Below are 27,148 nucleotides of genomic sequence, written 5' to 3'. Positions count from 1 at the left end.
GGTATGGGAGTGGAATAGGTGCTCACCAGACAAGAAAGGAAGAGCGTTCTCAGCAGAGGGAGTGGCATATGGAGAGCCCAGGATGGAGCAAGCCCGCTACAGCCCGTCTCTCCTGCAGACTGCAGCAAAAACGCTGGAAAAATATAAAAAGCAACTCCCTGAGGACTCACGAATCACATAAGAGCATGTGGATTGGGGAGGACAGGCAGAAGCCACGAAGTCACCTGTGTGGATGGGAGTGTCCTTTACATTTGTTTTCTCCTTATTCTTGTGGCTTTGACCTGAGTGGGCCCAAGAGCAGGGCTGCAGCGGTGGCCGTGCAGGTAGCGAATGTTCTGATGGAAACCCCACATGGCTGGCGAGAGGAACTGGGGAAAGGGAACCCTGTGATCCTTTTTTTTCTTTTTCTCCTTTCTCTCACAGCTTTGCCCCAAGAACGGGCCCCAGTTCAGAATTGCACAGTGGTGGCTGCATGCAGGCTAAATCTCCAAGATAAACCCTGTCTTTCTGGTCAGGGAAACAGGAAAAGGTGCCCTTTTGAACTGGAGGGTGTGGCAGAAACCCTGGAGAGGAGAGAGTGTGAGAAGTGGATCATCTCATTCTTTTTTATTTTTTTCTTGAAACAGAGGCTCGCTCTGTTGCCCAGGGTGGAGTGCAGTGGCGCGATCTCAGCTCACTGCAACCTCTGCTTCCCGGGTTCAAGCGATTCTCCTGCCTCAGCCTCCCGAGTAGCTGGGATTACAAGCATGCACCATCACGCCTGGCTATTTTTTTTTTTTTTTTTTGAGATGGAGTCTTACTCTGTCACCAGGCTAGAGTGCAATGGTGCAATCTCGGCTCACTGCAACCTCCACCTCCCAGCAGGTTCAAGCGATTCTTCTGCCTCAGCCTCCTGAGTAGCTGGGGTCCACCACCACACCTGACTAATTTTTGTATTTTTAGTAGAGACGGGGTTTCACCATGTTGGCCAGGCTGGTCTCGAACTCCTGACCTCAGGTGATCGAACTGCTGACCTCAGGTGATCCACCCGCCTCGGCCTCCCAAAGTGCTGGGTGAGCCACCTGACCTCAGGTGAGCCACCGTGCCTGGCCGAATTTTTGTATTTTTAGTAGAGATGGGGTTTCACCATGTTGGCCCAGCTGGTCTCAAACTCCTGGCCTCAAGTGATCTGCCCAACTCAGCCTCCCAAAATGCTGGGATTACAGGTGTGAGCTACCGCGCCCAGCCTCATCTAACTCTTTTTATGAACCACAAAAGTTCCAGCCTCACCCCTTAGCTACACATGCTTAGGACAGAACCAAAGTAACATAGCAAAAGCTTTGAGAACAGAATTAGGATTCATACCACTACTCACGTCTCTTGGAGTTGCAAAGACTAAAAATTAAGCTGAGATCAGAATCTAACCTCACCTAATCTAACAACACACTTCTAAATAGCCCATGGTTCAAAAAGGAAATCAAAAGAGAAATTAGAAAATATTTTGAATTGATATAAAAATGTGTGGGACTCAGTGATTAAAGGGAAATTCATACCATTAAATGCTGATTTTATTTCGTTTCATTTTTATAGAATATAGCTTTATTTATAGAATCTTACAAATCATTTACAGTCCACATAAGTTAATTTTATTTTCTAATTTCTTTTCATAAGAGCTGAGTTATTTTTTAAAACAATGTGCTGGAGGCCAGGTGCGGTGGCTCATGCCTGTAATCCCAGCACTCTGGGAGGCCGAGGTGGGAGGATGGCTTGAACCTTGGAGTTCGAGACCAACCTGAGCAACATGGCAAAACCCCATCTCTACTAAAAATACAAAAATTAGCCAGACATGGTGGTGCACTCCTGTAGTCCCAGCTATTCAGGAGGCTGAGGCAGGAGGCTCACTTAAGCCCAGGAGGTCAAAGCTGCAGTGAGCCGTGATCATGCCACTGCACTCCAGCCTGGGTGACTGAGCAAGACTCTGTCTCCAAAAAAAAAAAGGGTAAAATACTGCAGTGGAATTGCAGAACTGTAAAGGGAAATATGAACAATAAAATCCTCTCACACAAATATCGGACAACTTTTTTTTGCCAGGTGCAGTGGCTCACACCTGTAATCCCAGTATGCTGGGAGACTGAGGTGGGCAGATCACTTGAGTTCAGGAGTTTGAGACCAGCCTGGCCAAAATGGTGAAACCCCATCTCTACTAGAAATACAAAAATAATTAGCCAGGCATGGTGGCGCACACCTGTAGTCCCAGCTACTCAGGAGGCTGAGGTGGGAGGATCGCTTAAACCCAGGAGGCAGAGGCTGCAGTGAGCCAAGATTGAGCCACTGCACTCCAGCCTGGGTGACAGAGCAAGACTCTGTCTCAAAAAAAAAAAAGAAAAGAAAAGAAAAAGAAAAAGAAAAAAAGGAAAGAAAAAAGAAAAATTAAAAAAAAATTAGACTTTTTTTTTTTTTTTGGCTAATCTCCAGCATATTACCATCTCGTCAGAAGAGGGCTTACTAAGACCAGATCTTAGGCAACCCAAACAGAGCCTCCTTTTTTTTAAACCCAAGGTGACGGACCAATGAGGAATAGCCCCCAAAATTGACATTAGACACAAAATACCTGTAGGAGCAAGGACAGGGGCAGCCTGCCTGCCAGTGACTAGGTGAGAAGGAGCAGACACCTGGTGCTGGCTTACTGTTCCTGCATGTGACATGTACTTTCCTTGGTAACATTAACAGGGGCTGGTCCATCCAGAAAGAGGTTGAAGCTACTAATGCCAGGGGTGAAAAGTCTTTAGAACAACTGGCTATTCCTTAGACTTCTAGATGTACAAATGCTTAAAACAGCACATTTGGCCGGGCGCAGTGGCTCACGCCTGTAATCCCAGCACTTTGAGAGGCCGAGGCAGGTGGATCACGAGGTCAGGAGATCTAGACCTTCCTGGCTAACACGGTGAAACCCTGTCTCTACTAAAAATATAAAAACTTAGCTGGGCGTGGTGGCGGGCACCTGTAGTCCCAGCTACATGGGAGGCTGAGGCAGGAGAATGGCATGAACGCGGGAGGCGGAGCTTGCAGTGAGCCGAGATCACGCCACTGCACTCCAGTCTGGGCAATAGAGCGAGACTCCGTCTCAAAAACAAACAAACAAACAAACAAACAAACTGCACATTCAACACCCAGAAGTCCAACTCACCAGGCAAAGCTGTTGCCAACGGCAACTTACAGTCAGGAGATAATATGACTGTCTCCAGCCCCACTAAGTTCCGACTAGGACTGACCTCTGCACCCAAAGAGTTTTGTGTTGTTTTGTTTTGTTTTTTGAAATAGAGTTTCACTCTTGTCGCCCAGGCTGGAGTGCAATGGTGTGATCTCGGCTCACCGCAACCTCCACCTCCCCGGTTCAAGCAATTCTTCTGCCTCAGCCACCCACGTAGCTGGGATTACAGACGTGCACCAACATGCCCGCCTAATTTTTTATATTTTTAATAGAGACAGGGTTTCTCCATGTTGGTCAGGCTGGTCTCGAACTCCCGACCTCAGGTGATCCACCCACCTCAGCCTCCCAAAGCGCTGGGATTACAGGCGTGAGCCACCACGCCCAACCTCCAACGAAAGTTTTAAAAGGATTTCCCTTTGAGGTAGCTGTCTATGAAAGGAAATTTCTTAATATAGCTGTGCACAAAAGAGAAAGCACCCTATTATTTCATATTTTATTTTTCAATTTGTTAAAGGTTATATTTTTGAGCTCCTCTCCTAAACAAGAAACCTGCTAACTCTAACTTAGTACTTTCTTCTCCAAAACAAAGGCTATTATTTTTAAGGTATAAGAAGATCTATAGGGAATGCTAAAATTATACATTTAATACATCGATGTGAGTTAGGGAAAGCAAAATCTTCCAGAGTCATAAACTTTGAGTGTTATTTTCTGGTAGCTCCTGAAAGCAGTTTTAGAAAAATAAAACAGAAAAGATGAAGAACTGTTTTTATAACAATAATAAAGATAATATAAAAAGTTAGATTTCAACATTCAAGGAATTGGTTTTTGGTTAACCTGGACCATAATCCTATCAGGAGTCAGTCCTGATATTTCATCTAGAATCTCAATCACTGAAGTTTTCCTCCCTCTTCAGCCTATTCTCAAATCTATTGAAGTCAACAGGCAAGATAAGGAGAGAAACTTGTAATATCACCAGCAGTTTCCTTGCTCATGCTCTTTTCAAGAATATCCCTGGTTTGAGAGATGTCTCCCAGGAAGGGAAAACAAAACTGATGCTTTTTTGTTTTTTTCCCTGAGACAGTCTTGCTCTGTCACCCAGGCCGGAGTGCAGTGGCGCAATCTTGGCTCACTGCAGCCTCCACCTCCCAGGATCAAGTGATCCTCCCACCTCAGCCCTGCAAGTATTTGGGACTACAGGCCCACACCACCACACCCAGCTAATTAATTTTTGTGTATATATATATGTGTGTGTGTATATATATATATGTGTGTGTGTATATATATGTGTGTGTATATATATATATATATAAATTTTTTTTTTTTTTTTTTTTTTTTAGAGACAGCGTTTGCAATGTTGCCGAGGGTGGTCTTGAACTCCTCAGCCCAAGTGATCCTCCCACCTCAGCCTCCCAAAGTGCTGGGATTACAGGCGTGAACTCACCACACCCAGCTGATGCTGCCTTTAATGACTAAGAGTGGACAGTTTTCTGTCTAAGAAGATGAAAAACTCACTGGCGGCGTGCAGTGGCTCACGCCTATAATCCCAACACTTTGGGAAGCCAAGGTGGGAGGATCACTTGGACTCAGGAGTTCGAGACCAGCCCGGCCAACATGGTGAAACCCCGTCTCTACTAAAAATACAAAAATTAGCCAGGTGGGGTGGCACATGCCTGTAATCCCAGCTACTCAGGAGGCTGAGGCAGGAGAATTGCTTGAACCCAGGAGACAGAGGTTGCAGTGAGCCGAGATCACGCCACTGCACTCCAGCCTCGGTGACAGAGTGAGACTCTGTCTCAAAAAAAAAAAAACAAAAAGATTAAAAATTTAGGCAATGGCAATGAAGCAGTACTCTTGTGAATCATGCACACGAATCAGTTTGTGAACACAGCCCCTGGGCTGCAACTGCAGGCACCACTGAGAAAGGCTTCTGGAGAGTCTGGCTTCCCAAATTGGCTAAAGAAACTCATGTTATCCATGTGATAGTAATAAATCGATTCACACAGTGAGCCCTGCAGATTAGCTTTCCTTGAAGCCAGAGTTCTGAGGCAAGGGATCCAGCGTGCCTGAGGCTGGCCCACGGTTTTACAGACAAGTATATCCGTCCATTTTCTGGGCAGAATCAGAGCAATTCATATTCATATTCAGTTCAACGAAGGATTCCACTTTTTGTGTGTGTGTGAGGGAGGAAGCGGTAACCTACACAGGTGATTGAAAGCCCATCTGTAGCATAATCACTGGGCTGCCATTCTGCAAACATCTGCAGTGCCCCAAACTAAGTTTGTGACCTTACATTTCAGAGACCCCTGTTATTCATGCTTTTATTTATGGAAGTAGCAAATCCTAAATTTTGCTTGCACTGATTCCATTTCTGATTACCCTTGTTTAAGCAGAGCATAAACTGCATTCCAATTCTACCAGTCAGCTTGCCACTGTGCAGATATCTCCACTAGGGGAGGATAGTTTGTGCAGTCTGCCTTCTAACAGAGATGTCTGAAATATGCTCAGAATGTGCTTTTAGGGAGGCAGCTCCCAAGTCTTGTCTTGTCTTTTCTTTTCTTTCTTTTTTTTTTTTTTTTTTTAGATAGAGGCAGAGTCTCACTCTGTCGCCCAGGGTGGAGTGCGGTGGCACAATCTCAGCTCACTGCAACCTCCGCCTCACAGATTCAAGCAATTCTCATGCCTCAGCCTCCCAAATAGCTGGAACTACAGGTGCACACCAACACACCTGGCTAGTTTTTGTATTTTTAGTAGAGATGGGGTTTCACTATGTTGGTCAGGCTGGTCTTGAACTCCTGGCCTCAGGTGATCCACCCACCTCAGCCTCCCAAAGTGCTGGGATTACAGGCGTGAGCCACCGCACCCAGCCTGCAAGTCTCTTAGAAGATAGGAGTGGGGAAGGGAAGTGGGAATCACAGCAAAACATTGTTTCCTTGTAGACTCTCTGACCTTCCATTCTGTCAGTGTTGACCTGAAAGAGGAGGTCCAGGAAGCTACATTACCTCCACATTAGCTCACCTGGACAGCCAGGAAATACCAGGTGCTGCCCCCAAATCAATACCCAGCATTCTGCTAGGAGCAGATGAGCAAAATGACAAGACACAGAGCATCCGTCCCACTTTCTCTCCCACTCCGGATGATCCCTGCCTCCCCTCTCACCCTGTCATCTGTTCTCACTTAGAATTCTCTCTGAGAGAAGTAATAGGCAACTAAGCAGACTTTGAAAAAATAAGAGGGATTCCTGCATCTTCTCTGTAAGAAGAGGTGAACCTGTTTCAAAACTGGCCAGCCGGAGGTCCAGGATGCCCAGCCAATGTCATGGGCCCCAAACTATGGATTCACCTCTTGATATTTCTAACCAAGTTAAAACCACTGGCTGTATTTTTGCATTGTCAGGTAAAGGATTCAAAATCTTTCGGCACTGGGCAGGGCACAGTGGCTCACGCCTGTAATGGCAGCACTTTGGGAGGCTGAGACAGATGGATCACCTGAGGTCAGGAGTTCGAGACCAGCCTGGCCAGCATGGCGAAAACCCATCTCTACTGAAAAAAAAAAAAAAAAAAAAATTAGCCAGGTGTGTTTGTGGGTGCCTGTAATCCCTGCTACTGGGGAGGCTGAGGCAGGAGAATCGCTTGAACCTGGAAGGTGGAGGTTTCAGTGAGCTGACATCGTGCCACTGCACTCCGGCCTGGGTGACAGAGCAAATCTCCATCTCAAAACACGCGCGCACACACACACACACACATCTTTCAGCACTGGTTCCAAGGGAAAGAGGCGAGGGTAATCAGAGAAAAAGGCTTGTCTTGCAAGCTGCATTCAGGTTCCAGAGTCACAGAGAGAAAAGGAGGTGAGGAGAGGGTGAGAGGTACTACCTGGAGACTGGTTACTAGGGACGTTTCTTCCTAGGACAGAGCATTGTAAACACCGCTGACATCTGAAGGCGGGAATACAATCTGTGTAAGTTTTTCATGGAACAACCTCTTCCACGGTGCTTTGTGGATGGCGAGTCCTCAGGCCAGGGATCGGGCAGCCCAGGGCCTGACTTCCCATCCCACAGGCTCCTGGCAGGGCCCTACCCAATCTGGATCTGTCCTGAATATATCACGAGGACCAGCATGACGGTGAATCTGGCCAACAGACCCAGGTTCTGAATGACAAAGGGGATGGAGATGCTGCCCTTCCTCCCATCCTCTTGGCAGACCTCATTCGTCTCAGGGAACATATCAACCACAGCAATATTCAAGAACATTCCTCCAACCAGCACAAAAATTCAGTTGGCAGAGAAGTGGCTGCTGGCCAGGATGCCAAAGGCCAGACCCACATAGCAGCAGGCGGAAGGGGGTTGAAGAAGACAGTGCTGAATGGTCCTCCTAGCGCTAAGCAGGATGACAAAGTCATGTGGGAACTCCTCATGGAAGACGGCCACCAGGTGCCGAGGCCTTGGACCACACAGACGGTGAAAGAGGCGCCAGTGGCCAGGCTGCTGAGGACATTGTGGAGGCTGTTGCTTAGGGTGATCACCCAGGCCAGAGTGCTGATAAAGTAGTGGACACCTTTCAGCTCCAGCAGGCACTCTGGGGAGCCTGCAGAACCAGCACAGAGAGTGAGCCCACCACGACCTTCCCATCCATCATGGACTGCTTGCCATCCAGTTCACTGTGGCAGTGCTGAGGGCTCATGTGGTCCAGGTCCCCATTCTGCAGCTTCTCCATCACCCCCCTCCTCCTGGTGCTTCTTGGAAGGAAGCCTCTCAGAGGCATAATGGCTATGTCTATGTGATGTTCATTTTCCTGTTTGAGAAACATCTTCAAGATCTCTGAAAAATAAAAATAAAAGCCCCCAGACACCACTGCAGACTTGGACACATAATCATCTTCCAGAGGGTTGAAATCAAAAGCCCCAGGAATGAGCTAGGAGAGCACATTGGACTAGAGGATTCCAATCGCCAGAGCTATGACGTGGAGCAGCAGCTTCCTTCTGTAAAAGGCCTTCTTGAAGGCACCACGATGGTGCCCATGAGGGAGCAGAGGGAGATGACAGTCACATAGAGGAGATCGTATCCCCACACTTCAGTTGCACTAGATGGTCATCCCAGCATTGAACAGCATGACAGAGAATCCTTTTTCTTGCCTTATCCAGCTTCTAGAGGCTGCACACTCCCCTTCGCTTGTGGCCCCCTTCCACCTTCAAAGCCAGCAGTGTAGCGTCCTCAGATCTCTCTCTGACTCTGACACTGACTCTTCTGCTCGCCCTTTCACTTACAAGGTCCCTTGTGATAATCCATGGTAATTGGTTCCACCAGGATAATCCATGATAATGGTCACACAGAGGAGACTATATCCCCACACTTCAATTGTGCTCAGCCTCCCCTCTTCGATCTATGCATTCTCTCGTTCTCCTGGTCCACAGAGGTGCGGGCCAGGAATCTAGCTCCTGGAGAATGGCGGCAGAGCTCCTGGAGCTCACTCCTTCCAATCCATGACTGCCACTGAAATTGTGGGCAGCAAAGCAGTCTCCAGAACTAAAGCACATCGAGAGGTTCCTCTGTCCCTGCATGGGCTCAGTGACCTTATCCCACCTCACTCCCAATTCCAGGTAGTTGAGCAGGATGAGGCTGCTCCCAGCCCACTGCCACATCCAGATTCAGCTGCTGAGTTTATCCCACAGGAAAGAGGTAGCACTGACAGCGTGCACGCCTGTGGGTGACGCATGATCCTCAGGAGCAGTTCACCATGCGCTGAGCAGGGCCAGTAGGAGGCAGCTGTGGAAGGCCAGGTACAGCAGCTTCATGGTCACCAAATAAGCCTGACACTCAAGCAGACAGCAGCCACCCCCATGCAGCCTCAGCTGCAGGGCCCCAGGGTTGCTGGCTACGGCAGGAGCAGCTCAGTCCATACGTCTGCACAGGCACCCATCTGCCTGAACCCTGATCCCTGTGTCAGGCAAAAATGTTTATTTTAGAAAAAAAGGAAGGTCTCTCTAATCACTGACCTCAGCTTTTGCTTTAATAAACTAAAGAGAGAGAGAGAGAAATTCAAAAGAAGCAGAGAAAGGAAATAATATAGAATAATAAAGCAGAAATCAGTAAAATTGAGGACAGAAAAAAGAGTCAATGAAACCAAAAGCTGCTTTTGTGAAAAGAGTCATAAAAATAAATCTCTAGCCAGACCATCCAAGAAAAAAAAAATACAAATGACCAATATCAGAAATGAAAGACGGAACATCACTACAGACCTACATACATAAAAAGGATATTACAAAGAATGTTATGGCCATAAATTCAGCAGCTGAAATGAAATGGATAAATTCTATGGAAAACACAAACAACCAAAGATCACACAGAAGAAATGGAGAATCTAGGCCAGGCGCAGCGGCTCACGCCTGTAATTCCAACACTTTGGAAGGCTGAGGCAGGCAGATCACTTGAGCTCAGGATTTTGACACCAGCCTGGGTAATATGATGAAGCCCGTCTCTACAATAAATACAAAAATTAGCCAGTCGTGGTGACTCACACCTGTGGTCCCAGCTACTCAGGAGGCTGAGGTGGGAGGATCACTTGAACCCAGGAGGTGAAGATTGCCAGCCTTATATGTCAGGACTGCTTGAAAGGTTCACACACCCTCTTCCTCTGCTGCATGAGAACCCAACCTTGGCAACTACCTAGCTCTGTTACCCTGTATTGCTGCCGTAGCAAGTTACCACATGCTTAGTGACTTAACACCAGTTTATTATATTACAGTTCTAGAGGTCAGAAGTCCAAAATGAATCTCAGTAGGGTAAAACCAAGCTGTTGGCAGAGCTGTGTTTCTTCAGGAAACACCAGGAGAAAATCCTTCTTGCCTTTTCCAGCTTCTAGAGGCTGGACACTTCCCTTCACTTGTGGCCCCCTTCCACCTTCAAAGCCAGCAGTGTAGCATCTTCATCTCTCTCTCTGACTGACACCGACTCTCCTGCCTCACTCTTTCACTTACAAGGCCCCTTGTGATTGCATAGGGTCCACTAGGATAATCCATGATAACCTGCCTGTCTTAAGGTCAGCTAGTTAGCAACCTTAGTTAATTGCATCTGCAACCTAAAACCCCCATTATCATGTTCACAGGTTCTGGGGAGTAGGACACAGATAACTTTGGGAAGCCATTATTCTGCCTGCCTCACCCTGTAAACCAGTTAAGATGCTATATGTCAACTACATTGCCAGGCAACATTGCTTATGGTAAAAATGGCCCCTGACTGGTGAATTACATATGGACTGGGAGTAGCTAGGAATGGAATTTAAATATCTGATGTAGACGCCATGCTTTGAACTTCTCAGCATTTTGGTGACTGCTATGGTCTGAATGTTTGTGACCCCCCCACCCCTCCAAAAAAAATTCTGTGTTGAAATCTAATCCCCAGTGCAGTAGTACTGGGGCTTTAGGAGGTGATTAGATCATGGGGGCAGAGCCCTCATGAATTGGACTTGTGCCCTTATAAAAGAAGCCTGAGGAGCCTGTTTGCCCCTTCCCTCATGTGAGGACACAGTGAGAGGTGAACAGTCTGCCGCCCAGAAAAGGGCCCTTGTCACAACCTGACCATGCTGGCACCCTGAGCCTGAATTTCTAAGCTCAGGGAACTGTGAGAATAAATTTTGTAGTTTAAAAGCTACCCAGGACGGGCATGATGGCTCATGCCTGTGATCCCAGCACTTTGGGAGGCCAAGGCGGGTGGATCACTTGAGCCCAGGTGTTCAAGACCAGCCTGGGTAACATAGCGAAACCCCATCTTTACTAAAAATACAAAACTTAGCCAGGCGTAGTGGCGTGCACCTGTAGTTCCAGATACTTGGGAGGCTGGGGCAGGAGGATCACTTGAGCCTGGGATGTCAAGGCTGCAATGAGTCATGATCGTACCACTGCACTCCAGCCTGGGTGACAGTGAGACCCCGTCTCCAAAAAACCTACCCAATTTATGGTATTTTGTTATAGCAGCCCAGGTGAACCAAGACAGTGACGCTTGTGAAAGTCACGTCCCCGAGATACTGCCCTGTGGTGCGCATCTTCCCACGCAGACCCTGCACCTCCCTGTGAAGGCCCCGTCTGTTTGCACCATGACCATCACATGGGGCTAAGATAACTCCTGGATGTTACATACTCTGCTGTGAGAAATTCTCCAGGACTCCTCACACAAGGCAGCCTGGCATTGTTCTGCTGGCAGGCCAGGGCCTCTGTCCCCATCCTTCTGAATAGATCGGAGCACGTTCTGTCATCGTCTTGTGAGTCTGAATGTCTAGTCAATCTTCGACGTTGTCCTGGGCTAAAGAGGGGCTGTCTTCCATCTGATAACCAATGAGGAGCCAACCCTTATATTTGTAAGTACTTCGTTTTCTTTTTCTTTCTCCTCTTTTTTTTTTTTTTTTTTTTTTTTTTGTGAGACAAAGTCTCACTCTGTCGCCCAGGCTGGAGTGCAGTGGCACAATCTCAGCTCATTGTAACCTCAACCTCCCAGGCTCAAGCAATTCTCATGCCTCAGCCTCCTGAGTATCTGGGACTACAAGCATGTGCCACCATACCTGGCCAATTTTATTTATTTTTTGTAGAGATGAGGTCGTACTATGTTGCCTCGGCTGTTCTTGAACTCCTGGACTCAAGCGATCCTCCCGCCTCGACCTCCCAAAGACTGGGATTACAGGCAAGAGCCACCACACCTGGCCAATACTTCATCATATATACTGGCAATGCTCAGGCAACCCTGTTAACAGTCGAAACTGAGACCCACAATGGTTGGTAATTTGCCCAAATTTGCCCAGAAAGTTAGTGGGCTCTTTCCCCCTTCTCAAATATGCTAAAAAACAACCCACCTGCTTGGCAACATTGTCTAATGCGAAGTTGGGATTAGTGCCCAGTTCTTCAAAAGATCTTTATGGACCCTAAGTCACAGATATACATCCAACCAATGGTCAAATCTACTCACTGACTTCCTGCTGGTGCTGGGCACTACATATTCAAGAATCTCGGTCCAGGGAGGACGCAATGGCCCACATGTATAATCCCAGCACATTGGTAGGCAAAGTGGGAGGACTGCTTGAGCCCAGGAGTTCCAGACCATCCAGGGCAACATGGCAAGACCCTGTCCTACAAAAAGTAAAAAATAATAAAAATTAGTCCAGCATGGTGGCACACACCTGTAGTCTCAGCTACTCAGGTGGCTGAGGTGGGAGGATCACTTAAGCCCAGGAAGTTGAGGCTGCAGTGAGCCATGATGGTACCACTTCACTCCAGCCTGGGTGACGGAGTGAAACCCTGTTTCAAAAAAAAAAAAAAGAGAGAGAGAGAGAATCTCTGCCCTGTGGGTAACTACATTTTATCTCTTTTGCAGTGCTTCTTTTTATTTTTTATTTTTTCTTTGAGATGAAGTCTCGCTCTGCCGCCCAGGCTGGATTGCAGTGGCACTATTTCAGCTCACTGCAAACTCCGCCTCCTGGGTTGAAGTGATTCTCCTGCCTCAGCCTCCTGCGTAGCTGGGACTACAGGCATGGGCCACCACGCCTGGCAAATTTTTGTATTTTTTTCAGTAGAGATGGGGTTTCACCATGTTAGCCAGGCTGGTCTTGAACTCCTGACCTCAGGTGATCCGCCCTCCTCAGCCTCCCAAAGTGTTGGGATTACAGGAGTGAGCCACCACGCCCAGCCTCTTGCAGTGCTTTTTTTTATCTTGACAGAGACACATGGCCAGGGTGAGAGAAAGAGGAAATCAGCAGTTTGGTAGGAATTTGAAACAGGAGCCTTTTTCTAGCACCTTGAATAGGCAATGGTAGGAAAGTCAGAAATTAATCAAAAATGATAAAGACATTCGAGAAAGACACAGGAACCAGCTTGAAGGGGCTCCCACTGGCCAAATCCAGGACAATTTATACATCAAAATAAATACTGATAGTAATGAATTGTAGCCTACTGAATAAAACAGAAAACCCTGAGTGCCTCCTAATAGCAGCCAATAATTGAATATATTGAAAGTTTGATAAGGAACAAGTTTAGACAGTTTCAAGGTATCTTTCCACAAATTCTTATTCATTACAAAAATAAAAAGTAACTACAGTGAAGAAACTTGGCAGACACCACCTTAATCACGTGATGACAACGAACATCATTAATGGGACAAGGTGACATCTTGGGCTACTGGATAGGATGCAATGAGAAGAATGCAGTTTGTCTTCTGTGATGTTCCTGGCAAAGGATAACACCTGCATCTTATGAGGAGACAGAAAAGAAGCCCGAATTGAGGGGTGTTCTACAAAATAACGGCCGCTATCTTGGAAAGTGCTGTGGGTCGTCAAAGTCAAGGAAGGGCTGAGGGGTTAAAGAGGCATAAGAACTCCATGTGGCGTGTGATTCTCAGCTGAATTTACTACCGTGCAGGGCATTACTGGTGCATTTGATGAAATCTGAATAGCGTTAGAGGATTAGATGATGGTAACGTATCAATAATAGTTTCCTAACTTTGATGGCTCTATCATGTCTTTCTGTGTAGGAAATAAGAAGTATTCAGGGCTGACAGGCAGTTAGGTTGACATCTCCCATTCAAGTGGTTCAAGAAACTTTTTTTTTCTTTTCTTTTTTTGAGACAGGGTCTCGCTCTGTCATTCAGGCTGGTGTGCAATGACGTGATCTCAGCTCACTGTAGCCTCAGCCTCCCGAGTAGCTGGGACTACAAGTGTGTGCCACCACACCCGGCTAATTTTTTTTGTAGAGATGGGGTTTCACCATGTTGTCCAGGCTAGTCTCGAACTCCTGAGCTCAAGTGATCTGCCTGCCTTGGCCTCTCAAAGTGCTAGGATTACAGGTGTGAGCCACTGCGCCCGGCCAGGAAACTTTTCTTTATGCTATACTTGCAACCTTTCTGAAAACTTGAATTGTTACAAAATTCAAAATATTTAATGTTAAGACTTTTTTTTTAAAGTAAATGATGCCAACAAGCATATGAAAAGATGCTCCACATCATTAGTCATTAGGCAAATGCGAATCACAACCAAGAGAGGGTACCACTTCACACCCACGAGGATGGCTATAACCCAAAAAGTGGAAAATAACATATGTTGGCAAGGATGTGAAGAAATTGGAGCTATTGCTGATGAGAATGTAAAATGGTTCAAAATAGGTACTCAAATACATGTTCGTGGCAGCATTATTCACAATAGCCAAAAGATGGAAACAGCCCAAATGTCTATCAGCAGATGGGCCGATAAACTAAATGTGGTGCACCTGCATCATGGAATACTCTTCAGCCATAAAAGGGAATGAAATACTGATACATGCTACAACATGCATGAATCCTGAAAACATTACACTAAGTGAAAAAAGCTGGCCAGGTGCGGTGGCTCATGCCTACAATCCCAGCACTTTGGGAGGCCAAGGTAAGAAGATCGCTTGGAGCCAGGTGTTTGAGACAAGCCTAGACAGCAATGTGAGACCCCTGTCTCTATTTAACAACAACAACAAAAAAAAATTGAGGAGCCAGACACAGTGGCTCATACCTGTAATCCCAGCACTTTAGGAGGCCGAGGCGGGTGGATCACCTCAGCTCAGGAGCTCCAGATCAGCCTGGCCAACATGGCAAAACCCCGTCTCTACTAAAAACACAAAAATTAGCTGGGCGTGATGGTGGGCACCTGTAATCCCAGCTACTCAGGAGGCTGAGGCAGGAGGATTACTTCAACTCGGGAGGCGGAGGTTGCAGTGAGCCGAGATTGCACCACTGCACTTCAGCCTGGGTGACAGAGTGAGACTCCGTCTCAAAAAAAAAAAAAATAAAAAATAAAAAACTAAGTAAAAAAGAAAACAAAGGAAGAATCCAGTCACAAAAGACTGCATATTTTGTGATTTTATTTATGTGAAATGTCCAGAATGGGTAAATCTGTAGAGACAGAAAGCAGACTGTTGGTTGCCAGGATCTGGGAGGAGCGGGAAGTGAAGAGAACTGCTTAATGGAGAACTGCTTAATGGAATGAGGTTTTATTCTGAAGGTGTGGACGTGCTTTGGAACTAAATAGTGTTGGTGGTTGCACAACATTGTGGATGTACTAAACGTCACTGAGTTGCTCATTTTAAAATGATTAATTTTATTGTAAGTGAATTGAACCTCAATACTTTTTTAATTCAAGCATTTCAATGTGAATTTGGTATTTTTTTAAAAAGGAAATGGTAAGTGATAAAACATAGTTGGCAGCAGCTGGCAGCAGCCTTTAGAAACAGCATTTCCTGGCCAGGTGCAGTGGCTCACACCTGTAATCCCAGCACTTTGGGAGGCCGAGGTGGGTGGATCATGAGGTCAGGAGTTCGAGACCATCCTGGCCAACAAGGTCAAACCGTGTCTTTACTAAAAATACAAAAATTAGCTGGGCATGGTGGCGTGCGCCTGTAGTCCCAGCAACTCAGGAGGCTCAGGAAGGAGAATGGCCTGAGCCTGGGAGGCAGAGGTTGCAGTGAGCCAAGATCACGCCACCGCACTCCAGCCTGGGTGACAGAGCGAGATTCCATCTCAAAAAAAAAAAAAAAAAATAGAAACAGCATTTCCTGTAGCTGGTCCCAGAGGATGGAGTCACCTCATCTTTCTTGGACAGCCTCAAAGTCCCACATCAGAATGGACTAAAGTGAGGGGAGGGGGCTGGGCCCTGTGCTGGGCAGGAGACACCCTCCCGGAGAGAGGCAGGGAGGGTGGCCTCATGACTTCTGCTCTTGTGGCTTTGCTCTGAAGTAGGAGGCTGCACCCTAACCCTAGCAAGAATACTGAAAAGCCGTGCCGATGGGATGGCATGAAAGGGAGTCAGGCTGGGCGGCGTGGATGGATGAACTGCTGCGAACTCATTCTCCCTGATCAAAGCGCGTGACCCACTAAATTCACACTGGTGGTTTTCTACTACAGAGTCTGTGAAGTACAATGCATTTGCTTCAGATAATTCACAGAACCACTTGTCTGCATGCTTTCCGCTGTAGGCGGCTGCCTCCCGAGAGTAGGCCCCACGGTGCACCCAGTGGCGATGGCCAGCAACCTCATTGAACAACACACTGTCCATCCGTGCTGTGTAATCTGATGTTGGTGGTGACACCATAGCTCATCTGTCACTTCTCCATTTAGCACCATTTCAATATTTGGTCTGGAAAGAATAATTAGTTTTATTGGCACTAAGTAATCTTTTACCTCCACAAATCTGAAAAGTACAGATTGAAGAACATAGAAAGAAACCTTCAGGGCTGGGTGCGATGGTTCATACCTGTCATCCCAGCACTGTGGGAGGCCAAGGCGGGGGGATCATTTGAGGTCAGGAGTTCAAGACCAGCCTGGCCAACATAGTGAAACCCCATTTCTACTAAAAATAAAAATAAAAAAAAATTAGCTGGGTGTGGTGGTGCGCACCTGTAATCCCAGCTACTCATGAGGCTGAGGCAGGAGAATTGCTTCAACCCAGAAGGCGGAGGTTGCAGTGAGCTGAGATCACACGACTGCACTCCAGCCTGGGTGAGACTCTGTCTCAAAAAAAAAAAAAAAAAAAAGGAAAGAAAGGAAGGAGGGAGGGAGGGAAGGAAGGAAGGAAGCTAGCTACTGGAGAAGTGAGCATGCGGCTTCCTTCCTCTGCTCGCCCCCCCATGCTGCTTTGGGCCAAAGGCTCTGCACGCAGCCCAGCCTTCTGACCCATGCTCCCCCTGGCCCATGAGCCTCCCACAGCCAGGACTTCCCCTGCCCCTACAAGTCATGAGTTGCTCAGCTCCGTCTTCAGCCCAAACTCCCTGTGAATTCCATCTCTATCAGTCCTCCTGTCTGCTGGCCATGTGCTTCTCAGTTTCCCAAAGGCCTCCTAAGTTCAGCCTGGCCCTATGTGAACTCTGCACCCCATTCCACTTGCTCTTTTCCTAAGCGTGCGGAACAGCACAGCACCATCTCCCTGGTGGTCAGCCCAGATATGCCTTCCTTTCCCCCCTCCCCAGCATCCAGATCCTAACCACATCCCCTGGCTCTTCCACCCTCACCACCTGGCTCTCCACCCCGTCTCCCTACCAGAGCCAGTATCTAGACTCCCATGGTTTCCTCATTGGTCTGTTTGATTTTTCTTTTTTTTAAGACGGAGTCTTGCTCTGTCGCCCAGGCTGAAGTTCAGTGGCACGATCTCAGCTCACTGCAACCTCTGCCTCCTGGGTTCAAGCGATTCTCCTTCCTCAGCCTCCCGAGTAGCTGGGGTTACAGGTGCATGCCACCATGCCTGGCTAATTTTTTGTATTTTTTAATAGAGATGGGGTTTCACTATGTTCAGGCCAGGCTGGTCTCGAACTCCTGACTTCATGATCCGCCCACCTCGGTCTGCTTGTTTATCTTGTTCACCTCTGATCCATTCTCCACACTAGGTTGAAGTGACCTTTCTAGAATGTAACAGCAGAGCATGGTGGTACGCCTATAATCCCAGCTACTTGGGAGGCTGAGGCCAGAGGATCACTTAAGCCCAAGAGTGCAAGACCAGCCTGGGCAACACAGTGAGACCCACCCCCCCACACTCTCAATCAAAAAAATAAAATGTAACAGCAATCTTTTTACTTCTCTGTTAAATAACCCTTCATTTGATGACACCTGCCTACATGATACCAGTCCCACACTCTTAGTGTGGCACTCAAGGCCCTTCCTGGTCTGCTCCCTGACCTCCTGGGCTTCAGGAATAAGGGACCACCCAGGGTTTCCTGAAAGTGCCAGGCTGGTTCTCAGTTGCTCCGTCTTTACCCATGCTGCAACACCACACTTGCATGGGACTTCTGCCTGGAACTCCCCCTCTCTGATCACAGTGCCTAGTGGGTCCCATTCATCTTCCTAGGCTCAAATTGAGTATAAAGCCCTTCCTAACCTTCTCCTTACCTGAATCGATCATCTCCTTCTTGGCCCCTCTACCCTTTACTGACCTCTGTGGTAGCACCTTGATTTGATTGTTGAGTTTGCTGCTGTTAGTTTTGTCTCCACATAAATAGAAGGCAGGAATCACGGGCCAGGCACGGTGGCTCACACCTGTAATCTCAGCACTTTGGGAGGCCAAGGCGGGCGGACCACCTGAGGTCCAGAGTTCGAGACCAGCCTAGCCATCTCGACTAAAAATACAAATATTAGCTGGGCGTGGTGGCGCATGCCTGTAATCCTAGCTACTTGGGAGGCTAAGGCAAGAGAATCGCTTGAACCTGGGAGGCGGAGGTTGTAGTGAGCCGGGATCGTGCCGCTGCACTCCAGCCTGGGCAACACAGTGAGACTCCATTTAAAAAAAAAAAAAAGGCAGGAATCATATTCCACCTCCACCCACTTCCTCATTTCTTCAGTGAGATGCCTGACATAGTATGTGTTTAATGAATGAATGAATGATATGGGGTTCTCACCTTATTTTTGCTGCTTATTAGCTATTTAATGGCTTTGGACAAATGACTTAGCTGGCCGGATCTCAATTTTCTCATTTTACAAGTGAAAAAAATTGAGGTGAGTATAGGTTATAAATTCTGCTTCTCAGTTCATGCTCCCATCACCCTGAGATACATTCCTCTCCCACAGCCATGAAACGCCATACAATTGTCAGAGAGGCGTTTCTTGTAGGTATTACAAAGAACAACAACAACAAAATCTGATTCTTTGTAGTAGTGAGCACAGACTTGTGGCCACATTTCTGGGTTCCTGACTATACTGAGTTCAGAGTTTACCCCCAGAATTCATATATATCCAGAACTTCAGAATATGACTTTATTTGGAAAGTGGGTCTTTGCAAATATGATTAAGTTGAGGTCATACTGGATTAAAGTGGGACCTAAGACCAATGGCTGGTATCTTTATAAGGAGCGAAGATGACACGGTGAGACACAGAGAAGTGGGTTATGTGAAGATGGGGGCAGAGATTGGAGTGATGTCTACAAATCAAGGATTGAATGTCAAGTGTTATCAGAGGTCACCAGATGATAGGAAAAGATGAGGAAGAAGGATTTTCTCCTGGGGCCTTCAGAGGGAGCGTGACCCTGCCAACACCTTGATTTTGGACTTCCAGCCTCCGGAGCTGTGAGAGAATAAATTTTTGTTGCTTAGAACCACACGGTTTGTAGTAATTTGTTCCCACAGCTCTAGGAAGCTGAGACGTGGCCCAGCCACGCCATCGCTCAACTACCTTTTCGTCCCCCGTGTGGTGATCTGCCCACTTCAGTAGAGCTGCGATAGACTCGAATGACAATGAATTCATTCTAGACTGTAAGGTTTATAGACTGTACAAACACACCAGACACAGGTTTGTGTTCCTCCATACGTGCCGGTCAACACCGTGGTCCAGTTTGAGTAACTTGAATAACCCAGCAGTCAGAAAGAATTAACATCACAGTCAGTAAGGGCTGATGTAAGAGCCTCAGGCCACGAGTAAACTTCTAACATCTTCTCCTGTTGATTAAGAGTTTTGATTTCTACCTGCAAGGCCGAAGCAATGGTCAGGGAGTGTCTGGGTGGCCAGCTAGGTGAGGGAGTGGATAGCGTGAAGGGTCCCACGGAAGGTGGATCTAGTTTCTCTTTCTGTTGTTTATTCTGCACTAATTTGTCAAATGTTCTTAAGTATAACCGCTGGTCTGCCAACCTTCTCTAATTTTCTTGACCTTAATAAGGACCAGATAAGGTGACAGGTGACCAGCAGGCCCCAGCGTCGTTCGGACCCCGCGTGCTCTTCCTAAGAAACTGTGGTTGTCTCTCAAGTCCATTACAACCCATGCCCTGCCCAAAGCTTCGAATCCCTGGACTTGTTTAGCATCTGTGTGATTAGGTGTTATTAGACCAGCTGGATGCTATCGGGCACTCAAGATGTAAGTTGAGTAATTGAGACCCATACTGTAAAATGTATCAAGCTTGCCTATCACAGTACTTAATTTGCAAAGTGGTTGAAGTCGGAGTGGGGAAGAGTCATCCCCCTGCGAGGGGGACGGTGTTCCTACTGCAAACGTAGAGCCCTGGGTGTCTGGGTGGGAGGGCACCTCGTTCCCTGCACTCCCTTCAGGGGTCAGGACATTCAGCTCCAGCCTAGGATGACTGAGAAACAGCAGAATTGATCATGTGGTGCTAAAATGCCACCTTACACATCCACGTGTACAGATAGAAAGGCTGTGCCCTTTGCTGCCACAGCGATTATGACATCCAGGTGAATTAGGACTTCCCCTGCCTTTTATTATTATTATTATTATTATTATTATTAATTATTATTATCATTATTGAGATAGAGTCTTGCTCTGTTGTCCAGGCTGGAGTGCAAGTGGCGCGATCTCTGCTCACTGCAACCTCCACCTCCCAGACTCATGCGATTCTCCTGCCTTAGCCTCCCAAGTAGCTGGGACTTCAGGCACCTGCCACCACACCTGGCTAATTTTTGTATTTTTAGTAAAGACAGGGTTTCACTATGTTGGCCAGGCTGATCTGGAACTCCTGACTTCAACTGATTTGCCCACCTCCCAAAGTGCTGGGATTACAGGTGTGAGCAACCGCACCCGGCCCTCCCCTCCCTTTTAGATCCCTGTGTGGAAGCGAACGTGACCTCTATTCTTGAGGGAATGCCAAGATGTCAACTCAGTTAGTGAAATTCTTGTGACAATTCAAAGCCAATTTTTCTTACAGCTGAAAGGGGGGAATCTTAATGCTCACGATGAACGCTAGGAGAACCCAGCCTGAATGTTGGTGCAAAAGCAGTGCTATCTGGTGGGCCTAGCATCTAACAGAATTTTAGGGTAAAATGTTAGACCCTAGAAATAAACACAGTTTCACTAGGTGGAATCCTTGTTAGACCTGAGTGCCTCATTGTATTGAGTTTCCCAAATACAAGCTCTTAAATGAGTACTTCTGTCTCAGGTTTAAAAGCATTTTCAAGGCAGCCATCCAGTATACTAACCTCTGTTGAAATACTGTATCGGTTAGTGAGATGCAAAGCTGCTGTGACCAAGAGACGCAGAAACACGGTGACTTAAAGAGTGTGGAAATGTATTTCACTTTCTCATATGAGCCCAGAAGTAAGAAGCCAGGCTAACGGGGCCGCTCAGCTCCAGGGGGAATTTGGGGACGTGGGCTCTTTCCGTTTTGTTTCTCTCTCGTCCCCCAGGACTGTGCTTCTCAGATTGTCTTGAGCATCAGAACCACCTGGAGGCCTTGTTAAGCACTTTCCCACGCCCAGAGCTTCTTTTTTGTTGTTGTTGTTGAGATCGGGTCTCGCTCTGTGGACCAGGCTGGAGTGCAATGGCGCGATCTCAGCTCACTGCAACCTCCGCCTCCTGGGTTCAAGTGATTCTCCTGCCTCAGCCTCTTCAGTAGCTGGAATTATAGGCACCTGCCACCATGCCTGGCTAATTTTTGTATTTTTAGTAGAGACGGGGTTTCACTATGTTGGCCAGGCTGGTCTCAAACTTCTGACCTCAGGTGATCCACCCGCCTCGGCCTCCCAAAGTGCTGGGATTACAGGCGTGAGCCACTGTGCCTGGCCCCAGAGCTTCTATTTTGGTAGGTCTGAGTGGGCCCAAGCATTTGCATTTCTGACACGTTCCCAGGGGACATTGATGCCTCCGGTCCAGGGACCACACCTGGAGGCACCACTCAGGCCACTGTCCTCGCCTGCCCTTGTTGAACTTAAGCTGTAGACACATCCACGTGTGATGGGAAAGAGCTCAGAGGTCCCCAAATGATATCTGAAAGCCCAGGCCTGGAAGCGGCACCCATCATTTCCACTCATTCATCGTCGGCATCTCCATTGGCAAGACGTGAGTCACAAAGCCACACGTAGCTGCAAGCGACCCTGGGGAATATCTATCCAGGGGCCACCTGCCCTGTCACCATGACATTCCTGTGAGAGGAAGGGGAGCATGGGTTCTGTGGACAGCCAGCCCACATACACCCATGACAATATGATCATTGCTTATTTATACATCTCTCCCTCAGCACCTGAGCTCTTTGAGGGCGGGCAAGTCTCATTCCATCTTACGGCTTCAGAATCTATCATAGAAAGCAATGTAGATGCTAAAGTCCAGGTCAAGTTCTTTGGTTATACACTGAGAGCCGGGCGCCTCCCTCATAAGAATATTCATGGATCAGCATGGTGATTCCAGCAGTCCATGGCGCCCCTCACCAGGCAGTAAGCTCTGTGAGAGCAGAGACCTCACACCTGTGCCTCAAAGCCGAGCACCACTAGGGGGCTCCTCTTTTAGATGATTTAATTAATTCTAGTAGCCACATCTTTCATCCATTGCTTGGAATGTATTTCAGATGTCAGCCCACCAGCCTATCCCATACCCTAACAAGGGGTTTTAGACACCTTCCCTGTATCATCACTGTTTCTCAAAGTAAGGAAGTTGTTGGAGCCATCAGTACATCTGCATGACTCTGGGTCATTACCCTTCACAACCCAGAGTTAATTTAGCTCCATTTAAGAACTGAAACAGCAGCAGCCATGGGGAATTAAAGTCTCTGTTGAAGCCTCAGTTTATTCTTTCATGCACACCAGAGTCACGTTCATAGGGACTGGCTACGGCGTGCCCGCCCTATCTTGGCAATGGGGGCACAGAAGCTAAAAAAAACAAGGCCTCTGCCCTTGAGGGGCTCCCAGTTAGCTCATGGCCAGCCAGTGGGCCTTCCCACTACCTCACAATGAAACACAGCAATTTTTTCAAAGATGAATATATTTTCTTCTTTTGAGAGGGAAGAAAAGCTTTTGAAAACATCATGGTAAAATTTAGTGCTATTAAAAAGCAGCTTTCAGCCAGGAGTGGTGGCTCATGCCTGTAATCCCAATGCTTTGGGATGCCAAGGTGGGAGGATCCTTTGAGCCAGGAGTTCAAAACCGGCCTGGGCAATACAGTGAGATCCTGTCTGTACAAAAAGTTTAAAAATTAGCTGGGTGTAGTCCTAACTACTCCAGACGCTGAGGTTGGAGGATCACTTGAGCCCAGGAGATTAAGGCTGCAGTGAGCTATGATTGCACCACTGCACTCCGGCCTGGGTGACAGAGCAAGACCCTCTCTCTTACACACACACACATATACACACACACACACACACACACAAAAGCCAGGCGCCATGGCTCACGCCTGTAATCCCAACGCTTTGGGAGGCCAAGGTGGGCAGATCACTTGAGGTCAGGGGTTCAAGACCAGCCTGGCCAATATGTTGAAACTCCATATCTACTAAAAATATAAAAATTAGCTGGGCATGGTGGCACATGCCTGTAATCCCAGCTACTCGAGTGACTGAGGCAGGACAATTTCTTGAACCCAGGAGGTGGAGGTTGTGGTGTGCCAAGATCGTGCCACTGTACTCCAGCCTGGGCGACAGAGTGAGACTCTGCCTGTCTAAAAAAAAAAAAAAAAAAAAAAAAAAAAAGCTTTCTTCCGCAACCAGATAAAGGAATCCAGTCAAGAGCTAAATTCCCATCAGCTCCAACAATCTGTGTTATTTTGAGAAATAGCAATGATACAGGGAAGGTGTCTAAAATCACTTCCTGGGGTAGGCTGGTGGGTTGACATCTGAAATACATTTCAAGCGTTGGATGGAAGATGCTATGCAAATGCCAGGAGGACAAGGAGAAATTGATAGTGTCTTTTCTGATGTGTGGCCTCTCAAAGAGCTTCTAGAGTTAGTAAGTTATCTAAAAGAGGAATCTAAAAAGCTGATGGGGCTGTGAATAACATTAAGGGTCAGGAGAACAGCACCTCTGCTGTCCACCACTGTTATGACTGACCCACGTGTCTTCAGCCAGGCTCTTCATCTTGGACCCTGCATAAGGCAGGACTGGGCCCTGCTGGTCTAGCTCAGAACTTTTCAAACTCTAACGTAAACCTGAATCACCTGGGTTAAAACGCAGATTCGGCTGGGTGCAATGCCTCACACATGTAACCCCAGCACTTTGGGAGGCCAAGGTGGGCGGATCACTTGAGGTCAGAGTTTGTTATCAGCCTGGCCAACATGGTGAAACCCCGTCTCTACTAAAAATGCAAAAATTAGCCAGGCGTGTTGGCTCGCGCCTGTAATCCCAGCTACTCGGGAGGCTGAGGCAGGAGACTCGCTTGAACCCGGGAGGCGGCGGTTGCAGTGAACCAAGATCGCGTCACTGCACTCCAGCCTAGGCAACAAAGCGAGACTCTGTCTCAAAAAAAAAAAAAACAAACCAAAAAACAAACAACGACAACAAAAAAACCCGCAGATTTGACTTCGTAGGTTTGGGTAGGACCTGAGATTCTGCATTGCTAACGAGCTCCAGGGGATACTGAAGCTGATGTCTCCCACCAGGCTGTGAGTAGCAGCATGCAGCCTCCCCGAGGTCCCAGCCAGTCCTGTTGAGTGAGAGCCTGAGATACGGGTTTCATGACATACACACCAAAGTGTGGGATGCTCCAGCTAGATGCAGACTTGAGCAGTGTGTCTCAAACGCGGCTGCACATTAAAAGCACCTGGGAAGGCCGGGTGTGGTGGCTCATGCCTGTAATCCCAGCACTTTGGGAGGCCAAGGCAGGCGGATCACTTGAGGTCAGGGGTTCAAGACCAGCCTGACCAACATGGTGAAACCCCATCTCTACTAAAAATACAAAAATTAAGCTAGGCATGGTGGCATGCACCTGTAATCCCAGGTACTTGGGAGGCTGAGGCAGGAGAGTCACTTGAACCTAGGAGTCGGAGGTTGCAGTGAGCCGAGATCACACCACTGCACTCCAGCCTGGGCAACAGAGTGAGCCTGTCTCAAAAAAAAAAAAATCACCTGGGAAGCTTCAACTTCCACTGATGCCTCAGTCCTCCCCCAGAGATTGTGGCTTAAAGGGCCTGGGGTTTGACTTGGGCATCAAGATCTTTATTTTTTTAATTTTATATTTTTGGGGTTTTTTGAGAAAGGGTCTCTGTTGCCCAGGCTGGAGTGCAGTAGCATGATTACAGCTCACTGCAGCCTCAAAATTCCAGGCTCAGGCGATCCTCCTGCCTCAGCCTCCTGAATAGCTGGGATCACAGGCGTGTGCCACCACACCCAGATAATTTTTAAATTTTTTGTAGAGATGGGGTCTTACTGTGCTGCCCAGGCTGGTCTTGAACTCCTGGGCTCAAACAATCCTCCGCTGCAGATTCCCAAAGCACTGGGATTACAGACGTGAGTCACTGCACCCAGCTGGAATCGGGATCCTTAAAAGTCCCCCTAGTGGTTCAGATGTACAGCAAAGTCTGAGAAGCTCTGGTTGCCTATAGAGCAGTGGTTTTATCATAATCTCCAAGAGAGCTAAGACAGAACTCTAAGGTCATGGAGGTGGGTAGAGCAGGGCCTTAGTCTCTGTACATTCCCAGAGGATTCTGATCCCAACCAAATTTGGGGAACCGATGGTAGAGAACAGCTTCCCCACAGTGGGCTGGGGAGTGTAGTGTGCAACCTACAGGTACAGCCTTGATCCAGCACCTCAGCCCTCTGGGTGGGGTCTTGGGTAGCCAGAGTCAGGGAAGCCAGTTGCCTCAGTGGTTCTGTTTTCCCCAGAATGTGGTGGAAAAGTAGAAGAAGCACTGTTATATTAAAATACAAAACCAACTCCGGGTGCAGTGGTTCACCCCTGTAATCCCAGCACTTTGGGAGGTGAGTGGATCACCTGAGGTCAGGAGTTCAAGATTAGCCTGGCCAACATGGTGAAACCCTGTCTCTACAAAAATAGAAAAAAAATTAGCCAGGTGTGGTGGTGGGCACCTGTAATCCCACCTACTTGGGAGGCTGAGGCAGGAGAATCACTTGAATCTGGGAGGTAGAGTTTGCAGTGAGCTGAGATCGCACCATTGCACTCCAGCCTGGGCTACAGAGTGAGACTCCATCTGAAAAAAAAAAAAATACACACACACACACACACACACACACACACACACACACACAGCAAACAAGTTAAAAAAAAAAACAAACTAAAACATAAAGCATTCCTGGATCTCTGTCAGAGCTCTTTACAAGATCATGAGTCCCATTCATAAGAGCTCCATCCTCATGACTTAACCACCTCTCAGAGGTCCCACCTCCTAACAGCATCACCTTGGGGCTTTGGATTTCAATATAGGAATTTGGGGGGGGTAGGGGGGACATAAACATTCTGACCATAGCACAGGCTGAGAAAAATGCACCAAGCACAACTTCAAACCATCTCCCCTGAAGTTGAGGCCAAAATGAATTTGGATTCCATTTTAGCCAGGGGAGCAAACAGGTCTGTCAGCTTATTCTTGTCGGGCTTTTAGCTTTGCTCCAAGTTCATTAGGATGCCTCGGAGATGGATGCCGTAGGGCAGAGCATTCGGAAAACCCTTGGGGAATGAACTCATTACCCCAGAGTCAGCCATCCTGGAGAGACTGTCCTGGAGAAGTCACAGTTACGGAGGATGGCTGCAAAGGGAAGGCGAACAGGGCTATGAGTCTTGAATGGGCTGTAAGAAACCTTTCAAAGGCCAGGCACAGTGGCTCATGGCTGTAATCCCAGCACTTTGGGAGGCCGTAGGTGGGAGGATCCCTTGAGCCTAGGAGTTCAAGACCAGCCTGGGCAACATAGTGAAACTCCGTCTCTACAAAATAAAAAAAAAAAAAGTAAAAATTAGCCAGGCATGGTAGTGGACGCCTGTAGTCCCAGCTACACAGGAGGCTCAGGTGGCAGGCTCGTTTGAGCCCAGTTCAAGCCTACAGTGAGCCGTGATTTTTCCACTGCACTCCAGCCTGGGCAACGAAGCGAGACCCTATCTCAAAAAATAAATATTAAAAAAAAAGAGCTTTCGAGTCGTCTGATCTCTTCTATGCTAAATGTCCTTTGGTTGAAATCAAATTTCTAATGCATGTAAGTATATTATACATCAACAGGCTAACCATAGTTATCTCTGGGAAAAGGCATTATCACTGGTCTTTATTTTCTTTGTTGTAATTATCTTTATCTGCACATTTTTTGATAATAGGTGTTTTTTTGTTTTGTTTTGTTTTTT

The 27,148-nt window shown here is 47.5% G+C and overlaps 1 protein-coding gene and 1 pseudogene across 4 annotated transcripts in view, besides 1 other annotated feature; one reads left to right on the top strand and one right to left on the bottom strand.

The window, feature by feature from the left end:
- GNG4 (G protein subunit gamma 4) overlaps positions 1-27,148 on the top strand; it is a 102,924-nt gene that overhangs the window by 26,950 nt on the left and 48,826 nt on the right. The window lies entirely within an intron of this gene.
- Positions 492-992: an enhancer, noted in NCBI's record as "H3K4me1 hESC enhancer chr1:235785967-235786467 (GRCh37/hg19 assembly coordinates)". NCBI's record gives its function as "activates a minimal SCP1, AML or CMV promoter by ChIP-STARR-seq in naive H9 embryonic stem cells {active_cell/tissue: H9 hESC(naive)}" and the evidence as "EXISTENCE:reporter gene assay evidence [ECO:0000049][PMID:30033119]".
- LOC100131725 (solute carrier family 39 member 14 pseudogene) lies at positions 7,065-8,259 on the bottom strand (annotated as a pseudogene).

Source organism: Homo sapiens, chromosome 1 (genome assembly GCF_000001405.40).
Source record: "Homo sapiens chromosome 1, GRCh38.p14 Primary Assembly".
Lineage (NCBI taxonomy): Eukaryota > Metazoa > Chordata > Mammalia > Primates > Hominidae > Homo > Homo sapiens.
The sequence above is the reverse complement of the archived record's forward strand: the minus strand, read 5'-3'. Positions and strand labels throughout refer to the sequence as shown.